Source organism: Homo sapiens, chromosome 7, assembly GCF_000001405.40.
Source record: "Homo sapiens chromosome 7, GRCh38.p14 Primary Assembly".
Taxonomy (NCBI): Eukaryota; Metazoa; Chordata; class Mammalia; order Primates; family Hominidae; genus Homo; species Homo sapiens.
This window is the reverse complement of record NC_000007.14, coordinates 27,610,840-27,627,867: the sequence shown is the minus strand read 5'-3', so window position 1 is coordinate 27,627,867 and position 17,028 is coordinate 27,610,840. Positions and strand designations below refer to the sequence as shown.

The window sequence follows — 17,028 nt, the reverse complement described above, 5'->3', positions numbered from 1 at the left end:
ATCAAGCAATTTTTAAACTTTGGTTTGTTGTTTTAGTGTACAAAAATGCTAACATAACTGAATACACCTGAACCTGCATATGTAGTAGATTAAAAGCTTTGTGCAGGGATGATTTGTGGTAATTTATTGGTTGACACATGATCATTATGAGGTTAACCAGTATATAATAGCAGCTTATTTATATTGGTCTTATTGTTATTATGTTTATATTTTTTAACATGGTATGTTACAAACTGTTCCACCTTCCCACTTAAAATAGGCTGGTTTAAAAATTACTGTATTTTAACTAAATAAAGTTAAACCAAAGTGTTATAGGACCACTAGGTTTGATTGCTTGTTGCATGATAACAGACCAGTATGCAGACACAATGGGAGTTGCAGTAGAGAAAGAGTTTAATAATTGTAGGGCAGTCAAATGAGACAGAGGAACCTTCAAATCCTCCTCCCTCCAGGGTTTGGGGATGGAGCTTGTAAAGGGTCTGAACAGGTAGGGCTAAAATGTGGGGATTGCTGATTGGTCAAGAAGCAAGGGGGAATTCCTGGGACAGGGAGATGAAGAAACCGCATTCCTGTGCAGAGTTGGTTGGTTCCTTGGTTGAGGTCTTGAGACTGGTTGGCTTCAGCCATTCTGCTGGAATTCAGGACCTGAAAAACACCATAAGCAATTCTTGGGTAAAAAGGTCCAGTGTCAGAGATTCTGTGTATAGGAACAATGGGGGAGCAGGTGGTCAGCATGCCGCATGACCCTTGGTTAGTTACCAGCTACAGGGAAGTGGGTTGAAGTACCCCAGTGCACCCTGGTCAATGCCTGACTATAATTCTGCCTAAAGCCTGGCTTGTAGTTCTCCATCAACTCTGTGAGGGTGGTTTCAAAAGGGATGTGGGGAAAGCATGGCTTAGATACCCAGAATGGGCCCACAGTTTTATAGAAGTCCAGTGTTCATCAGTCTTGAAACATGGAATCTTTGAGATCATTTGAACAAAACTTGAAGAATTTCTCCCCATCCCTTTCTCCCAAGTCTTCATCTATTTCCTATTCCAGACTTTAAAAAATGCATCATGGATTTATATATAGGTACGTACAAATAGAGTAGTATTCTAAAAGTGTAAATGGGAACATACTATACTTCTATTATCCTATGGTTAGTATTTTAAAGAGAAGTTTTTTTAAAAAACTCAGATGAATTTAAAATAGTAATGATTTTTGAGAAGCAATTGGTTTCTTCAGTCAAGCGTTTCCCCCTACTTCCTGGTAAGTATTATTCTGGGGAGTAAAGTAAGAATTATTACTTAATCATTTTTCTAGCCTATGGAATAACAGATGGAAAGTTTTCCTCAGGTTTCATTTTGATACTTATTAGACCCACTGTGTAATGGCTCCTGTGTACATTATCCTTATTAGAAAGAATACAATTGTATTTAAGTGCTATATGACTTCTTTTAAAAATCGAAAGTAATGCTTAAACTGTTATGTTTATCATCCTGAAACCAATGTGAAGAACCACTTTAATATTTGTGTAGTTATCACTTTATAGTATAGATAGTAGTTTATAAAGCACTTTGGCATGCCTCAGCCTATTTGATGCTTCTTTTTGTTTTAATTTTAATTTTTGTGGGTATATAATAGGTGTATATACTTAAAGGGTAGATGAAATGTTTTGATACTGGCATGCACTGCCTAATAATCACATCATGTAAAATGGGGTTGGTGCTTCTTTTTGAAGCTGTCAAACTGTACATCTTTTTTTTTTTTTTTTTTTTTTCTGAGACGGAGTCTCACTGTGTCACCCAGGCTGGAGTGCAGTGGTGCAATCTTGGCTCACTGCAACCTCTGCCTCCCAGGGTCAAGCAGTTCTCCCTGCCTCAGCCTCCCGAGTAGCTGAGATTACAGGCGCCTGCCACCACACCTGGCTAATTTTTGTATTTTTAGTAGAGACAGGGTTTCACCATGTTGGCCAGTTTGGTCTTGAACTCCTGACCTTAGGTGTTCTGCCCTCCTTAGCCTCCCAAAGTGCTGGGAATACAGGCGTGAGCCACCATGCCTGGCCTTAAAGTGTACATCTTTATCAGAGCCCACATCACGCTATATTTATAGGCTATGATTCTCTTCCTCTTGAGTTTAAGCTTTTTTAGTGCAGGGAGTAAGTTTTTTTCCCCAATTTTTAAAATTAAATATTGAATATATGTGCAACATATTTATAAAATATATGTGCGGTATAAAGTGTAAGTATACATTGAACTAATACGTACCCCCTACTCAGTTTAAGAACTAGAGCCTTGCTATTTATTACCTTTGAAGTTCTTGTTTCCCTGATCCTATTTTCTTTTCTCTCTGATGAGAGGTAACCAGCATCCTGAATTTTATGTCTCATTCCCATGCTTTTTTTTTTAAGTTTAACTCCATATGTTTTTATTTCTAAACAGTAGTTTATTTTCCACCTTTGGAACATTATAGAAATGTTCCATAATGAGCATATTCTGTGACTTGCTTTTTCACTTTACACTGTATTTCTGAGTTTCAACCCTGGTGTTACTAGAGCCACTGGCTTACTTGGTACCTGTGTGAGAATTAGAAAGGGCACCTCTCTATACCAAAATAGCCCTTCAGGTGAGCAGAACGAACCTTTGTATAAAGAAAAAGGTATGCCTTTCTGTAGACACGTGTAGCCTTATGTCAGGGTTTGCGGTTTGACACATTGAATGTAGATTAAATGTCAGCCCCTGCTCACCCATTTGGCTAGATGCCCATGTGCAGTACATAAAATGTATTGCCATTATGTGGTTGTTACGTGCAGTTCTTTCATTTTAACTGCTCTGTGGTATTGTTCTATATAAATACATCACTATTTTTTCTTTCTATTGTGATATACATTTGGATTATTTCCAAGTTAAAAAAATATTCGCATTCTTACACACCATGGAAAGGTGTCTTTTTAGTCTCTGTTTTTCCAGTGTAATGCTTAGAACATGGTTGGTCTTCACTAAATGTTTAAAAACTTGAGTTGACTTCAACTGGAAAAACAACCATGTGAAATAGACAGGATAAGCAGTGATACTCCCATTTTACCAAGGGTGGAAGTAACACCAAGAGATATTAGATAACTTACCTCAAGACCATACTGTTGATCAGGGGCAGAATTGAAGGACTGATATGATGGTTCTTTAATGCATATTCTACTGTATTAGGAAATAATATTTTCTAGAGTTCTCATATATTTCAAGAGGGAAATAAAGATTGCTAAATGGAAGAATTAGTGACCTTAGGGCTAAGCAGCAGATGAACATTCCAGCTAGACCCAATCTAAAGTGCTTACCTACAGAATTGTGAACAAGTAAGGCCACTAAATTTGGGGGTGGGTGTTATATGTAGCAGTAAATAACTGATGCAGCCAATAAAGTTGATATTTCCATAATTATATAGAAGTATTTAATGTTGCTTGTATTATCAGTGTGCTACCTGTGCTTATTTAGTACAAGTGTTATAAACTCTTTCTGAAGGAGAATTATTGTAATGCGGTTTTGATATGAAGGCCAGCTTTAACATTACTATAGCCTTGGAATATGTTTTGAAGTCAGGTAATGTGGCATCTCTAGCCTTGTTCTTGTTGCTGAGGATTGATTTGAATAATCGGGCTCTTTTCTGGTCCGTACAAATTTTAGGATTTTTTTTTTTCTGATATTGTGAAAAATAACTTGGTAATTTGGTAGAGATTGCATTGAATATTTAGATTGCTGTTGGCAATATGGTCATTTTAACAATATTAATTTGGCCGGGCATGCGGTGGCTTATGCTTGTAATCCCAGCACTTTGGGAAGCCAAGGCAGGTGGATCACCTGAGCTCAGGCATTCGACACCAACCTGGGCAACAATGTGAAACCTGTCTCTACTAAAAATACAAAAATTTGGCTGGCCACGGTGGCATGCGCCTGTTGTCCCAGCTACTTGGTAGGCTGAGGCGGGAGAATCACTTGAGCTCGGGAGGTAGAGGTTGCAGTGAGCTGAGATCGCACCATTGCACTCCAGCCTGGGTGACAGAGTGAGACCTTGTCTCAAAAAACAAAAAACAATATTAATTCTTGTGATCTATGAGCATGTCATGTTTTTCCATTTGGTTATGTCATCTTCAATTTCTTTCATCAGTGTTTTGTAGTTTTTCTTGTAGAGATCTTTCACCTTGTTAAATTTATTCTTAGATACTTTTATTTTTCATAGCAATTATAAGTGGGATTGCTTTCTTGATGTTCTTCTCGGCTAGATCACTCTTGGTTTATAGAAATGCTACTGATTTTTGTGTGTTGATTTTGTATCCTATAACTTTACTGAATTTATTTATCAAATCTAAGACTTCTGGGTTGAGTTTTAGGTTTTTCTAGGTGTAAGATCATATCATCAGCAAAAAGGGACAGTTTAACTTCCTTTATTCCGATTTTGATGACTTTTATTTCTTTCTCTTTCCTGACTGCTCTGGCTAGGACTTTCAGCACTATGTTAAATAGGAGTGGTGAAAGTGGGTATCTTTGTCTTGTTTCAGTTCTTAGAGAAAAAGCTTTCAACTTTCCCCCATTCCATATGATGTTAGCTGTGAGTGTGTTGTATATGGCCTTTATTATTTTGAGGTATGTTCCTTCTATGCCTAGTTTGTTGAGGATTATTATGAAGGGATGTGGAATTTTATCAAATACGCTTCCTGTGTCTATTGAGATGATCATACGGTTTTTGTCCTTCATTCTGTTGTGATGTATCACATTTGTTGATTTGCATAGAACCATCCTTATATCCCTGGTGTAAATCTCACTTGATCGTGTTGTATTATCTTTTTGATATGCTACTGGATTCTGTTTGCTAGTATTTTGTTGAGAATTTTTGCACCTGTGTTCATCAGGTATATAGGCCTGTAGTTTTCTTTTTTTGTTGTGTCCTTGTCTGATTTTGGGATCAGGGTGATTCCAGCTTCATAGAATGAGTTAGGGAGAATTCTCCCCATTTCAGTTTTTGGGAATAGTTTCAAAAAGATTAGTATTAGTTTGGTAGAACTCAGCTGTCAGTTTGTCTGGTCCTGGACTTTTCCATGTTGAAAGATGTTTTATTATTCTTTCCATCTTGCTACCTATAATGTCAGTTCAGGTTTTCTATTTCTTTCTGATTCAATCTTGGTAGGTCGTATGTTTCTAGAAATTTTTCATTTCCTGTAGGTTTTCCTGCTTTTTAAGCGTATAGTAGTTCATAATAGTCTCTGATGATCTTTTGTATTTCTATGGTATCAGTTGTAATGTGTCATTTTTCATTTGATTTTATTTGAGGCTTCTCTCTTCTTTTCCTGGTTAAACTAGCCAATGGTTTATCAATTTTATTTATCTTTTTGAAGAGCCAAATTTTTGTTTTGTTGATCCTTTGTATTTTTAAGTCTCTATTTCATCTAGCTCTGCTCTGATCTTTATTATTTATTTTCTCCTGTTCATTTTATGTTATGTTATGATCTTTGGGCATTTATTGCTATAAACTTCTCTCTTAGTACTGCTTTTGCTGTATCCCAGAGGTTTTGGTATGTTGTGTTTCTGTTTTCATTTGTTCCAATAAATTTTTTTAATTTCCATGTTTTCTTATTTTTAACTTTTTTAAAAAAAAATAGGCTCTTGCCTTGTCATCCAGGCTGGAGTGCAGTGGTGCAATCACAGCTCACTGCAGCCTCAACCTCCTGGACACAAGGGGTCCTCCAGCCTCAGGCTCTCGAATAGCTGGGACTACAGGTGTGTACCACCACACCTGTCTAATTTTTGTAGAGATGGATTCTCACTGTTTTCCCAGTCTAGTCTTGAACTCCTGGGCTCAAGTGATCCTCCTACCTTGGCCTCCCAAAGTGCTGGCCTCCCAAAGTGCTGGGATTACAGCCATGAGTCATGGTGCCCAGCCTTTATTTTCATCTTAATTTCTTAGTCAACCACAGTGGTCATTCAGGAGCATGTTTCCCCGCCACCCCACCCGTGTATTTGTAGAATTCTTCTTTGTATTAATTTTAGTTATATTTTATTGTGGCGCGAAGAGATACTTAACAGGTTTTCAGTTTTTTGTTTGTTTGAGATCGAGTCTCGCTTTGTCACCCAGGCTGTAATGCAGTGGTGCCATCCCGGCTCACTGCAACCTCCACATCCCAGGTTCAAGCGATTCTTCTGCCTCAGCCTCCTGAGTAGCTGGGTTTACAGGCTTGTGCTGCCACACCTGGCTCATTTTTGTATTTTTAGTAAAGACGGGGTTTCACTGTGTTGGTCAGGCTGGTCTCAAACCGCTGACCTCAAGTGATCTGCCTGCCTTGGCCTCCCAAGGTGCTGGGATTACAGGTGTGAGCCACTGCGCCTGGCTGTTTTCAGTTTTTTAAAAGTTATTCAGACTTATTTTGTGGCCTAATAAAAGGTCTATTCTGGAGAATGTTCCATATACTGATGGAAAAAATGTATATTCTGCAACTGTTGGATAAAATGTGCTGTAAATGTCTGTTAGGTCCATTTTGTGTAAACTCCAGTTTAAATTCAACGTTTTTTTCTTGACTTCCTGTCTAGGTGATCTGTTTAACATTGAGAATTGGGTGTTGAAGCCCCCAACTATTATTGGATCTCTCTTTCAGATCTAGTAATATTTGTTTTATGAATCTGGGTGCTCCAGTGTTGGGTGCATATATATTTGGAATTGTTATATCATCTTGCTGGATTGATTCCTTTTTCATTATTTAATGCCCTACAATTAATGATTGTCTTTTTATTGTTCTTTATTTAAAGTCTGTTTGATGTAAGTATAACGATTCTTGCTTGCTATTGGTTTCTGTTTGCATGGAATATCTTTTTCCATTCTTTTACTTTAGCTGTGTATGTGTCCTTATTAGTGAGGTGAGTTTCTTGTAAGCAGTTGGATTGTTTTTTTTTTTAAATCCATTCAACCTTTATGTATCTTTTAAGAGGATAATTTAATCTGTTTAGTTACTATCAAGGTTATTATTGATATGCAAGGCTTTGTCCCTGTCATATTGTTAATTATTTTCTGATGGTGTTATATATTTTGTTTCTTTCCTTTTCTCTCATTGTTAGTCATTATGGCATGGTGGATTTCTGTATTGGTACCATTTGAGTCCTTTTTTCTTTGTGTGATTGCTTTGCTGGTGAGTTTTATACTTTCATGTGTTTTCATGATGGTAAATGTCTTTTTGCTTCCAGGTTTAGGACTCCCTTGATTATTTCTTGTAGGGCTGGGCTAGTGGTAATGAATTCCTTGAGCATTTGCTTCTCTAGAGAAGACTTTATTTCTTCTTCATTTGTGAACAGTAATTTTGTTGGATACAGTATTCTTGGCTGCCAGGGTTTTTTTTTTGTTTTGTTTTGGTTTGTTTTTGTTGTTGTTGTTGTTTTTCCTGTCAGCACTTTGAATATATCATCCTATTCTCTTCTGGTCTATAAAGTTTCTGCCGATAAATCTTCTGTTAGTCTTATGGGGGTCCCTTTATAGGTGACCAGATGCTTTTGTCTTGCTGTTTAGCTTAGACTTTATTTATTTGTTTATTAGAAACAAGGTCTCAGTCTGTTGCCCAGGCTGGAGTGCAGTGGTGTGATCAAAGTTCACTGCACCCTTGAACTCCTGGGTTCAAGCGATTCCCCCCAACCCCAACCTCCTGAGTAGCTGGGACCACAGGTACGCATCACAATGCCCAGCTAATTTAAAAGTTTTGTAGTGATGGAATCTCAGTATATTGCCCAGGCTGATCTCAAACTCCTGGGCTCAAGCGCTCCTCCACCTTGGCTTCCTAAAGTGTTGGGATTACAGGAGTGAGCTACCATATCCTGCTGGATTCGACTTTAGACAGTCTGATTAAAATGTGTAGTGAAGAAGATCTTTTAGCATTGTATCTTTCTGGGAATTGGTGAACCTCCTGTATCTGAATATTTAAATCTCTTGCTAGACTTAGGAAGTTTTCACCTATTCTTTCATTAAATAGATTTTCTGATCTTTTCACTTTCTCTGTGGGTTTGGAGATACTGATGATTTGTATATTTGGTCACTGTATGTTGTCCCAAATGTCATGAATGCTTTACTCATTCTTTTTAATTCTTTATTTTTGTCTGACTGCATTATTTCAAAAAATCTATCTTCAAGTTCTGAGCTTTTTATCTTCTCCTTGTGTAGTTTATTGTTGAAGCTTTCTAATGTATTTTATATTTCCTCCAATAAGTTCTTTAGTTCCAGAGTTTCTACTTGTTGCTTCTTAAAGATATCTATCTCTTCGGTAAATTTCACATTCATATCCTTAATTGTTATTCTGATTTGTTTGCATTGTGTTTTGGAATTAATCTGTTTTTCACTGAGCTTCTTTAAAATCAATATTTTAAATGTATTATCTGGAATTTTGAAGATTTTTAAAAATTAAAATATATTGTTGTAGAATTGTTGTATTCCTTTGGAGATGTCATATTTCCTTGCTTTTTCATGTTTCCTGTGTCCTCATGTTGATATCTGTGCATCTGGTGTAACAGTCTCTTCCTCCTATTTTTGAATTTACTTTTTATAGGGGAAGACTTTTTCTTAAAGGTGTATCTGTGGTTTCATGATTGAGCAGGGCTCTTTGGCTTTGATTACGGTTGCATGCAGTATTATAGTCACTGCATGGTTTCCTTGGCTGTAAATAGCTTTTCTGGTATCTGTTATTTCCTTGGAGGGTTAGGGTGAAGTTATTAGTGGAAGCTGTGGTGAAGTTGTGGTGTGGACTGGGAAGCCAGGTAGGCCAGTGTTCAGGCCCTAGTGGTGGCAGCAGTGGGCTGTGCATGCTTTGTTCCCCAGGGCAATTGATACAGTTTGGATATTTGTCTCCCCAAGTCTCATGTTGATATGTAATCCCCAGTGTTGGAGGTGAAGCCTGGTGGGAGGTCACGGGGGCAGATTTCTTATGAAAGTTTAACACCATCCCCTTGGTGCTGTCCTTGCAATAATGAGTAACTACTCAGGAGACCTGCTTGTTTAAAAGTGTGTGGCACCTTCCCCCTTCTCTCTTGCTCCCACTCTGGCCATGTAATATGCCCACTCCGCCTTTGCCTTCCACTATGAGAAAAAGCTCCCTGAGGGTTATCCAAAAGCTGTGCAGATGCTGATGCCATGCTTCCTGACAACCTGCAGATCCAAAAGCCAATTAACTTCTTTTATTTATAATACCCAGCCTCAGGTATTTCTTTATAGCAATGCAAGAACAGCCTCATACATGCTGGCACCTGTGTCAGTGGTTACCAGTGGACCAATTCTTGGGCTTTCACATGGCTTACTCCAATGCCAGTAGTGGCAGCGGGGGCTGGGTAGGTGAGCAGGTTCTTATGTCACTGGTCAGCTGGAGTGGTATGGGCAATGGCAATAGTGGTGGTTTGATTACCTTCTGGGTCCCTATCTGCGTGGGCTGGTGATGGTGGTGGCTGCGATACTGGTTGTGGCTGCAATACAGGGTCACCCCCAACAGCCCCAGACATGTTGCTACCAGGCTTTTCTGCCGTCTATAGCAGCAATGCTGCCATGCTATACAGAGTGGTGTATGGGCCCTGCCTTTGCATGTGAGCCTTAGCATGGAGGCCATGCTGCCAGTGGGATTTCAGTCACCACTCTCTGCCCCGGATAGGTAGCCCTCCAGCTTGCCTGGCCCAGCCTCCGGTGATAGCAGGAGCAAGTGTACAGAGCAGGGGGAAGGGTACCATGCTCTGTGTGAGAGCTTGATCACAGAGGCTGCTCCACCAGTAGGAGAAGAGTTCACTCTTCCTTTGCAAAGCCAAGCACAGGGTTTGTGAATTGCTGGGCTTGGAGTCATTTCTCACAGCCCCAGACAGGGAGCTCTCAGACACTGTAGAGTGTGCTTCAGTTTCCTTTGTCCCAGGTACTGCCTTTCAGCGCACTGCACCATTTTTTTCCTGGGGAGTAGTATACCCTGTGGGTTAAAGCACTTTGGACCCAGCCAGTGCTGTGCCACCACAGCCATTCAGGTCTTGGGGGATGGTGAATGACCCAGGATGAGTTTCCTGTCTGGTGCAGTGCCTGCCCTTGCAGGGTTTCCAGATCTCCACCTGCGCTAGTGTCAGGGTTCATGTAAGTAGAGGAGCTCTCTTGTGGTTCATATCGCAACAGTCCATTGCAGAGACGTGGACTGCTGAAGCTCTTTTACTTACCGTTTTCCTGTAATAGGGAGTCCCTCGGGGCTCTTGGTTGATCTTGGTTAAGCTGGCTGCTTCCTTTCTTCTCTTTCTATGCCTCTGGTGTTTGCTGTGAATTCACCCTTGGACTCTAGTGTTCTCTTCTATTTGAGGTATTTTTATTCCTAATTTTGGCTCTTCTTTCTGGAGAGGGTGGCTGTCTGGTATCTGTCGTCAGCCATTTTCAACCAGGTAACTGAGTTTTGACCAAGTTGGTGAAAATTTAATATAAGTTGTTATAGTGTTAGGACTGCTGAGATCAAATGCAGTGTTGTGTCACTTAATGTTAAGCAATTGCGTCATTGTTCTAACATCATAGAGTGTACTTACACAAACCTGAATCTAGGCTATATTGCCATAGTCTATTGCTCCTAGGCTATAAACCTATACAACATGTTACTATACTGAATACTGTAGGCAGTTGTAACACAATGGTAAGTATTTGTGTTTCTAAACATATCTAAACCTAGAAAAGGTACAATATTAAATACAATATAAAAGATAAAAAATGGCACACCTGTATAGGGCCACTTACCATAAATGGAGCTTGTGAGTCTGGAAATTGCTCTGGATGAGTCGGTGAGTGAATGTGAAGGCCCAGGACATTACTGTACACTGCTGTAGACTTGATAAACACTGTATTCTTAGGGTACACTAAACTTATAAAAAATATTTTTCTTCAATAATAAATCAACTTCAGCTTACTGTAACATTTTTACTTTACAAACTTAAATTTCTAAAAAACTTTCTGACTCTTGTAATAATACTCGAAACAGCAACACATTATACAGCTGTACAAAAATATTTTTTCCTGATATTCTTATTTTATAAGCTTTTTTTCTATTAATTAAAAATTTTTTTTTTTTTACCTTTTAACTCTTTTCTAAAAAAGGAAGACATGGGGGCTGGGCGCAGTGGCTCATGCCTGTAATTCCAGCACTTTGGGAGGCCAAGGCGAGCACATCACTTGAGCCCGGAAGTTCAAGACCAGCCTGGGTAATATGGCAAGACTCCTTCTCTGCAAAAAATAGAAAAATCAGTTGGGCATGGTGGTGTGCACCTGTAGTCCCATCTACTTAGGAGGCTGAGGTGGGAGAGTCGATTGAGCCTGGAAGATTGAGGGTGCAGTGAGTCGTGATGGCACCACTGCACTACAGCCTAGGCGACAGAAAAACCCTATATTAAAAAACAAACAAACAAAAAAAACAACGAAGACATGATCACACACATTAGCCTGGGCCTTTCCTAAGCCTTCACATTCACTCATTTGATATTACTGTGCTGTGTGGTTTGGATATATGAGCCCTCCAGACCTCATGTTGAAATTTGATCCCCAGTGTTGGAGGAGAGGCCTCATGGGAAGTATTTGGGCCATGGAGGTAGATCCCTCGTGAATAGATTAATGCTATTCCTTGGAGGTGAGGAGTGAGTGAATTCTCAGTCTTAATTCCCACAATATCTGGTTGTTAAAATGAGTCTGGCCCCTTCCCCTTCTTTCTCTTGCTTCCTCTTTTGCCCTGTGATCTCTGCACGTGCTGGCTCCCCTTCACTTTCTGCCGTGAGAGGAAGCAGCCTGAGGCCCTCAGAAAATGCATTGGTGCTAGTGCCATGCTTCTTGTGTAGCTTGCAGAACTGCGAGCCAAATAAACCTCTATTCTTTATAAATTATCCAGCCTTGGGTATTCCTTTATAGCAACACTAAATGGTAGTCCATTTAGACACACTGTCTTTCACTTCTACATCTTGTCTCACTGGAAAGGTCTTCAGGGGCAATTAACAGGCATGGAGCCATAATGTCTTAAGATAACAATGCTTTCTTCTGGAATACCTCCTGAAGGACCTGCCTGGGGTTTTTTTATAGCTTACTTTTCTTTATCAATAGAAGGATTATACTCTATTTACTCTAAAAATATAGTAAATCCATAAACTAGTAGCGGAGTTGTTTTATTTTCATTAGCAAGTATTATGTGCTGTACATAATTGTTGTGTGCTACACTTTTATTTGACTAGCAGTGCAGTAGGTTTGTTTATACCAGCATCACCACAAACATGAATAATGCATTGTGCTGTGACATTACTAGGTGACTGGAATTTTTCAGTTCCGTGATGATCTCATGGGACCAGTGTTGTATATGCAGCCTGTCATTGACTGAAATGTCATTATGCAGTGCATGGCGGTAGTATGTCTAGCTGTTAAACGTCTCTTGTGCTCCTAGACTTCAGTTTTATTATTAGAAAGGACCTTACTAATAATTTAATTTAACTCTATTAACATTTTATAGATGGAAAAATCGAGGTTCAAAGAGGATAAGTGACTTGCCCAGGGTTCTCTAGGTTGTTAGCAACTCTAGGACTAGAATCAGTTTTCCAGCTAAATCTAATGTTCTTCCCACACTATGTCACACCTTCCTCCCTTCAGTCTCGTTCCTTGGTGGCCTCCTGTCTTCTTCATAGCAGTCATAGTTATCAGAAGGGATTCTCATAACTCCATTTGTATCCATTTTATTTACCCCGGCAACTGCTTCCCTATCTCCTATGTTGCTAGCTGATAGGCACTGGCATGTAGTAAAAACAGGGAATCGCCATATTTCCTAGTCCTCAGAGGCTATTTTATAATCTTAACATTTCTGTTAAGATTAGAGGCTTAACATTTCTGTTTTAGATTCACACGAGAAGAATCATTGAGAAGCCACTATTCTTGAATCTGGAGAACTCAGGAGAGATCAGATCAGTCCTATTAGGTTAGGTCCATCCTGGAATGTTTGTTAACTGGCTCTAAGGGGCATTTGTTCTGTGGATGGATTGGGATGGAACCAGTTTTTGGGGTCTTTCCTGATTGAGATCCACCTGACTAGTGCTGTTTCATCAAATAAGCCTCCAGAGAAAGAAAAGTAAAGTGATACCTTGACATATCTTTAACATGTTTTAGTTTAATGGGATAAGATCTGTTTTTAGATATAAGGATTTGTGAATTGAACAGAATTATAGTTGAAAGCAAAGGGATGAGAGGATTTTTATATAGCAACAATGATAGTATGAAATCCATGCTATTGCAAGGACAACTGTGTTATGCTTATGTTTGTGCCTGTCTCTTCTACTAGACTGAAGAGGGCAGACACCATGTCTTATTTAATTTTATATCTCCAATGTATATCTCCTTGTAGACAATAAAGTATGGTTGGTTGAATCAAGAATCTTTTCTTCTTTAAAATTCAAGACTGATGTTAAATATTTTGAGCCTTCTTGCGGTTATTCATCTTTCTGAAGCTGTCCTCCAGGTTATCTCCAGATTATTTACCTCTCTGTGAAGTGTAAGCTAACTGCCTCTACATTTTGTTATCAGTCAGGTAGCAGGCATATACTATGTTTAAAATGTTGTATTGTAATATTAGGTGCCATTGTGGCGAGTGTGATTATGATCAATTTAGTGGGGATGAGATAAGAGAGAAATACTCAGAACAACTTAAAGAGGAAGTTCTTACATTAAAAGTTTAGAATTTAGAAAAACATACTAATACTTGCAAATAGTTACAGAAGTATTTAACAAGCAGAAATGGAACTCCTCATTACCAGTTTAATCTCTAACAGCATTCTAGGCACTATAAAGAAACAGTCCTCATCCCATCTCGGTTGACTTTTATTATTTACACTTTTATCTCATAGTCAGCTTTCTGGATATTTAAAGAGAGAATAACACTAGATTTAGGCCGGGAGCAGTGACTTACGCCTGTAATCCCAGCACTTTGGGAGGCCAAGGTGGGCAAATCACTGGGGCCCAGGAGTTTGAGACCAGCCTGGCCAACATGGTGAAACCCTGTCTCTACCAAAAAATACGAAAATTAGCCGGGCATGGTGGCGTGTACCTGTAGTCCCAGCTACTCGGGAGGCTGAGATGGAAGATTCACTTGAACCTGGAAGGTGGAGGTTGCAGTGAGCTGAGATTGTGCCACTGCACTCCAGCCTGGGTGACAGAGTGAGACCTGTCTCAAAAAAAAAAAACAAAAAAAACCCACAACAACAACAAAAAACCCCACTAGATTTAATCTATACAGCTGATTCCAGGCCAACAGAAGGACTTTTAGTTCTGGAAATGGAAAGTTTCTGTTAAAGATCAACTGGAAATTTCTTAAAATTTCTTCCCAGCAACAACCTGGGGGGAACCAGTGGAATTTGGAATTAGATTTGACAGTTCCTTAGTACATATTCTTTAAATAAAGAAGAAAGGGAATTAGTTCATATAATTCTCCTACCACCTTTATTTTTTTGTTGTTGTGCTTTATCTGTCTATCTATCTAAACGAGGCTCTTTCTACCATCCAGGGAAACTTCTTTCAATTTATTCTTTTATATATATATATATAAAACAAAATGTAGAGGCACTTAGCTTACACTTCAAAGAGAGTTAAATAATCTGGAGATAACCTGGAGGACAGCTTCAGAAAGATAAATATATAAATATAAATATAAATATATATATTTATATAAATATATTTATATAAATATATATATTTATATAAAATATATTTATATAAATATATATAAATATATTTATATGAATATATATAAATTATAATTTATATAATTTTTATATGTAATATATATAAATTATATTATATATATTTATATATTATGTAAATATAATATATATATTTTTGGATATATATATCCTATATATATAAAATATATATATAATATATATATAAATAATATATATATATTTTTTTGGAGATGGTCTCTGTCATCCAGGCTGGAGTGCAGTGATGCAATAATAGCTTACTGCATCCTTGAACTCCTGGGTTCAAGCAGTCTTCTGCTTGGAATATCTAGGAATTCTCTGGAATATCTAGGACTATAGGCATGCACCACCATGCCCAGCTAATTTTTAAATTTTTTTTGTAGTGATGGGGTCTGGCTGTGCTGCCCAGGCTGATCTCCAACTCTTAGGCCCAAGTGATCCTCCTGCGTTGGCCTCCCAAAGTGCTGGGATTACAGGTGTGAGCCCCTGTGTCTGGCTGAGCCTGGTACTTTTAGAAAGAGATTACAGGCTGGGCGCGGTGGCTCATGCCTGTAATCCCAGCACTTTGGGAGGCCGAGGCAGCAGATCACCTAAGGTCAGGAGTCCGAGACCAGCCTGGCCAACATGGTGAAACCCCGTCTCTACTAAAAAATAAAAAGTATCTGGGCGTGGTGGCAGTCACCTTGATCCCAGCTACTTGGGAGGCAGCAGCAGGAGAATCGTTTGAACCCGGGAGGCAGAGGCTGCAGTGAGCCGACATCGAGCCATTGCACTCAAGCCTGGGGGACAAGAGCAAGACTTTTCTCAAAAAAAAAAAGAAAAAAAAAAGGAAAAGAAAAAGAGAATGTAACTTTAAAAATCAAGGTCTGCATTTCTTTCTTCAACAAAATATCTTGTACTTGAAATTATTTATATAGTCCTTATAAGATTATCTACTTGTTTCTGATTATACACTTTAATCTCATCTTCTGTATTATGCTGACAGCATCTTCACCACAAGGGACTTGCCTTATTTTCCAGTTCATACAAAGAAGGCACTAGGGATAAGGCTTTAAAGATACTCAAAGTCCTTTGCCTCTTGAAACTTATAGAGGAATAGAGAGAGTTAACATAAAAATAATTTCAGTGATAATTGCTATGAAGGAAAAAAAAAAGGAAGAGTAACAGTTTGGGAGATAGAAAGTATTGAGAGTGCTCTTTTGGATAGTGGATGGGATGCCCTTTCTGGGGAAGTGATATTTAAGCAGAAATTTGAATGAAAAGGTTTAGAGAAGAGTGTTTCACTGAAAGGAGTTGCTCTGTAAGGGCTCTGAGGCATTGAACTAGCTTGGTGTGTTCATGGAACATTTATCTTTGTATCACCAGACTTAGCAGTTGTTTCACTCAGAGTTTGTTCAATTGAATAACCTGTACCTGACTCCCCGTATGTCTAATACCATGCCTTTGTTTATTAGTTTGTTGTTTCCAAAGTAAAGTGAACTGGGCTTTATATAAATTAGCCCATGACACAGGTCTCATAAGTATGATGCCCTATTAACTTGTGCAAATCACATTTTTATGAAAGTTGTAATCCTTATTTAATGTCTCATGTTGTTTAGTCATGCCATTTTGGATACATACACGTGTGTGGGTGGGTGGGTGTGTGTGTGTGCGCGCACACACGCAGTGGGTCTGCTACCACAGTGTTGGTTCCAACTTGATCAGCTCTCGTCTATAATGAATGCTAGACATACAGCAAATTAAAACTAAATTAAAAACTATTGCTAGTGACTAATGACCAAATACTGTTCAGTCTGCTCCCAGGGCATCATTATAGCTGTGCTTGAATAATTGAAGAATAAACTCACTGATTGCCTAATACATCTGTAGATTTGCCCAGAGACCTTAAGTTGAAGTGACTCTGAAGTGGCGCTTGTAGTTAGCCCCAGGCACTGCATGTTGGCACGCCTCATTGATTTGCTAAACTGTATTGTTCTAGGTAGGAATTAATGTCAAAATTAAATAATTGAACTTGTGTGTATGTGTTTGTATAACAGTTCCATACCAGAAAACCAAATTTTATACTCTACTTGGCTGAGTTAAGTTTTAGTAATTTGTTTGAGGCATTCTTAGAATAAGCACAAAACCTATTAAGAAATTTCTCTTAGAGAGGTAGGCTTGCTTGGTAAATCTCAGTGAGTTTCATATAGACTTCATTATTGTTTTTAAAATCAACCATGCAGGCTTGGCCCTTACTGCTCACTGAACTGGATACCTACTGTTTTTCCACTAGATCTGTATCTAATTTATGGTAAAAGGACCACAAAAAAT

The 17,028-nt window shown here is 38.7% G+C and overlaps 1 protein-coding gene and 1 long non-coding RNA gene across 6 annotated transcripts in view, besides 1 other annotated feature; one reads left to right on the top strand and one right to left on the bottom strand.

Moving 5' to 3' along the window:
* The window catches only part of HIBADH (3-hydroxyisobutyrate dehydrogenase), a 137,442-nt gene that overhangs the window by 35,016 nt on the left and 85,398 nt on the right, over nucleotides 1-17,028 (top strand). The window lies entirely within an intron of this gene.
* TSL (testis-expressed, seven-twelve, leukemia) lies at nucleotides 376-11,894 on the bottom strand. Of its 2 annotated transcripts, NR_122122.1 has the most exons (3): nucleotides 11,073-11,894; nucleotides 10,180-10,399; nucleotides 376-645 (listed from the first exon to the last, which is right to left on the bottom strand). It is a non-coding gene; the product is annotated as a testis-expressed, seven-twelve, leukemia (long non-coding RNA). The 2 variants fall into 2 exon arrangements; NR_122123.1 differs by lacking the exon at nucleotides 10,180-10,399.
* Nucleotides 11,391-11,591: a silencer, noted in NCBI's record as "peak6451 fragment used in MPRA reporter construct". NCBI's record gives its function as "represses an SCP1 promoter by STARR-seq MPRAs in K562 erythroleukemia cells {active_cell/tissue: K562}" and the evidence as "EXISTENCE:reporter gene assay evidence [ECO:0000049][PMID:32103011]".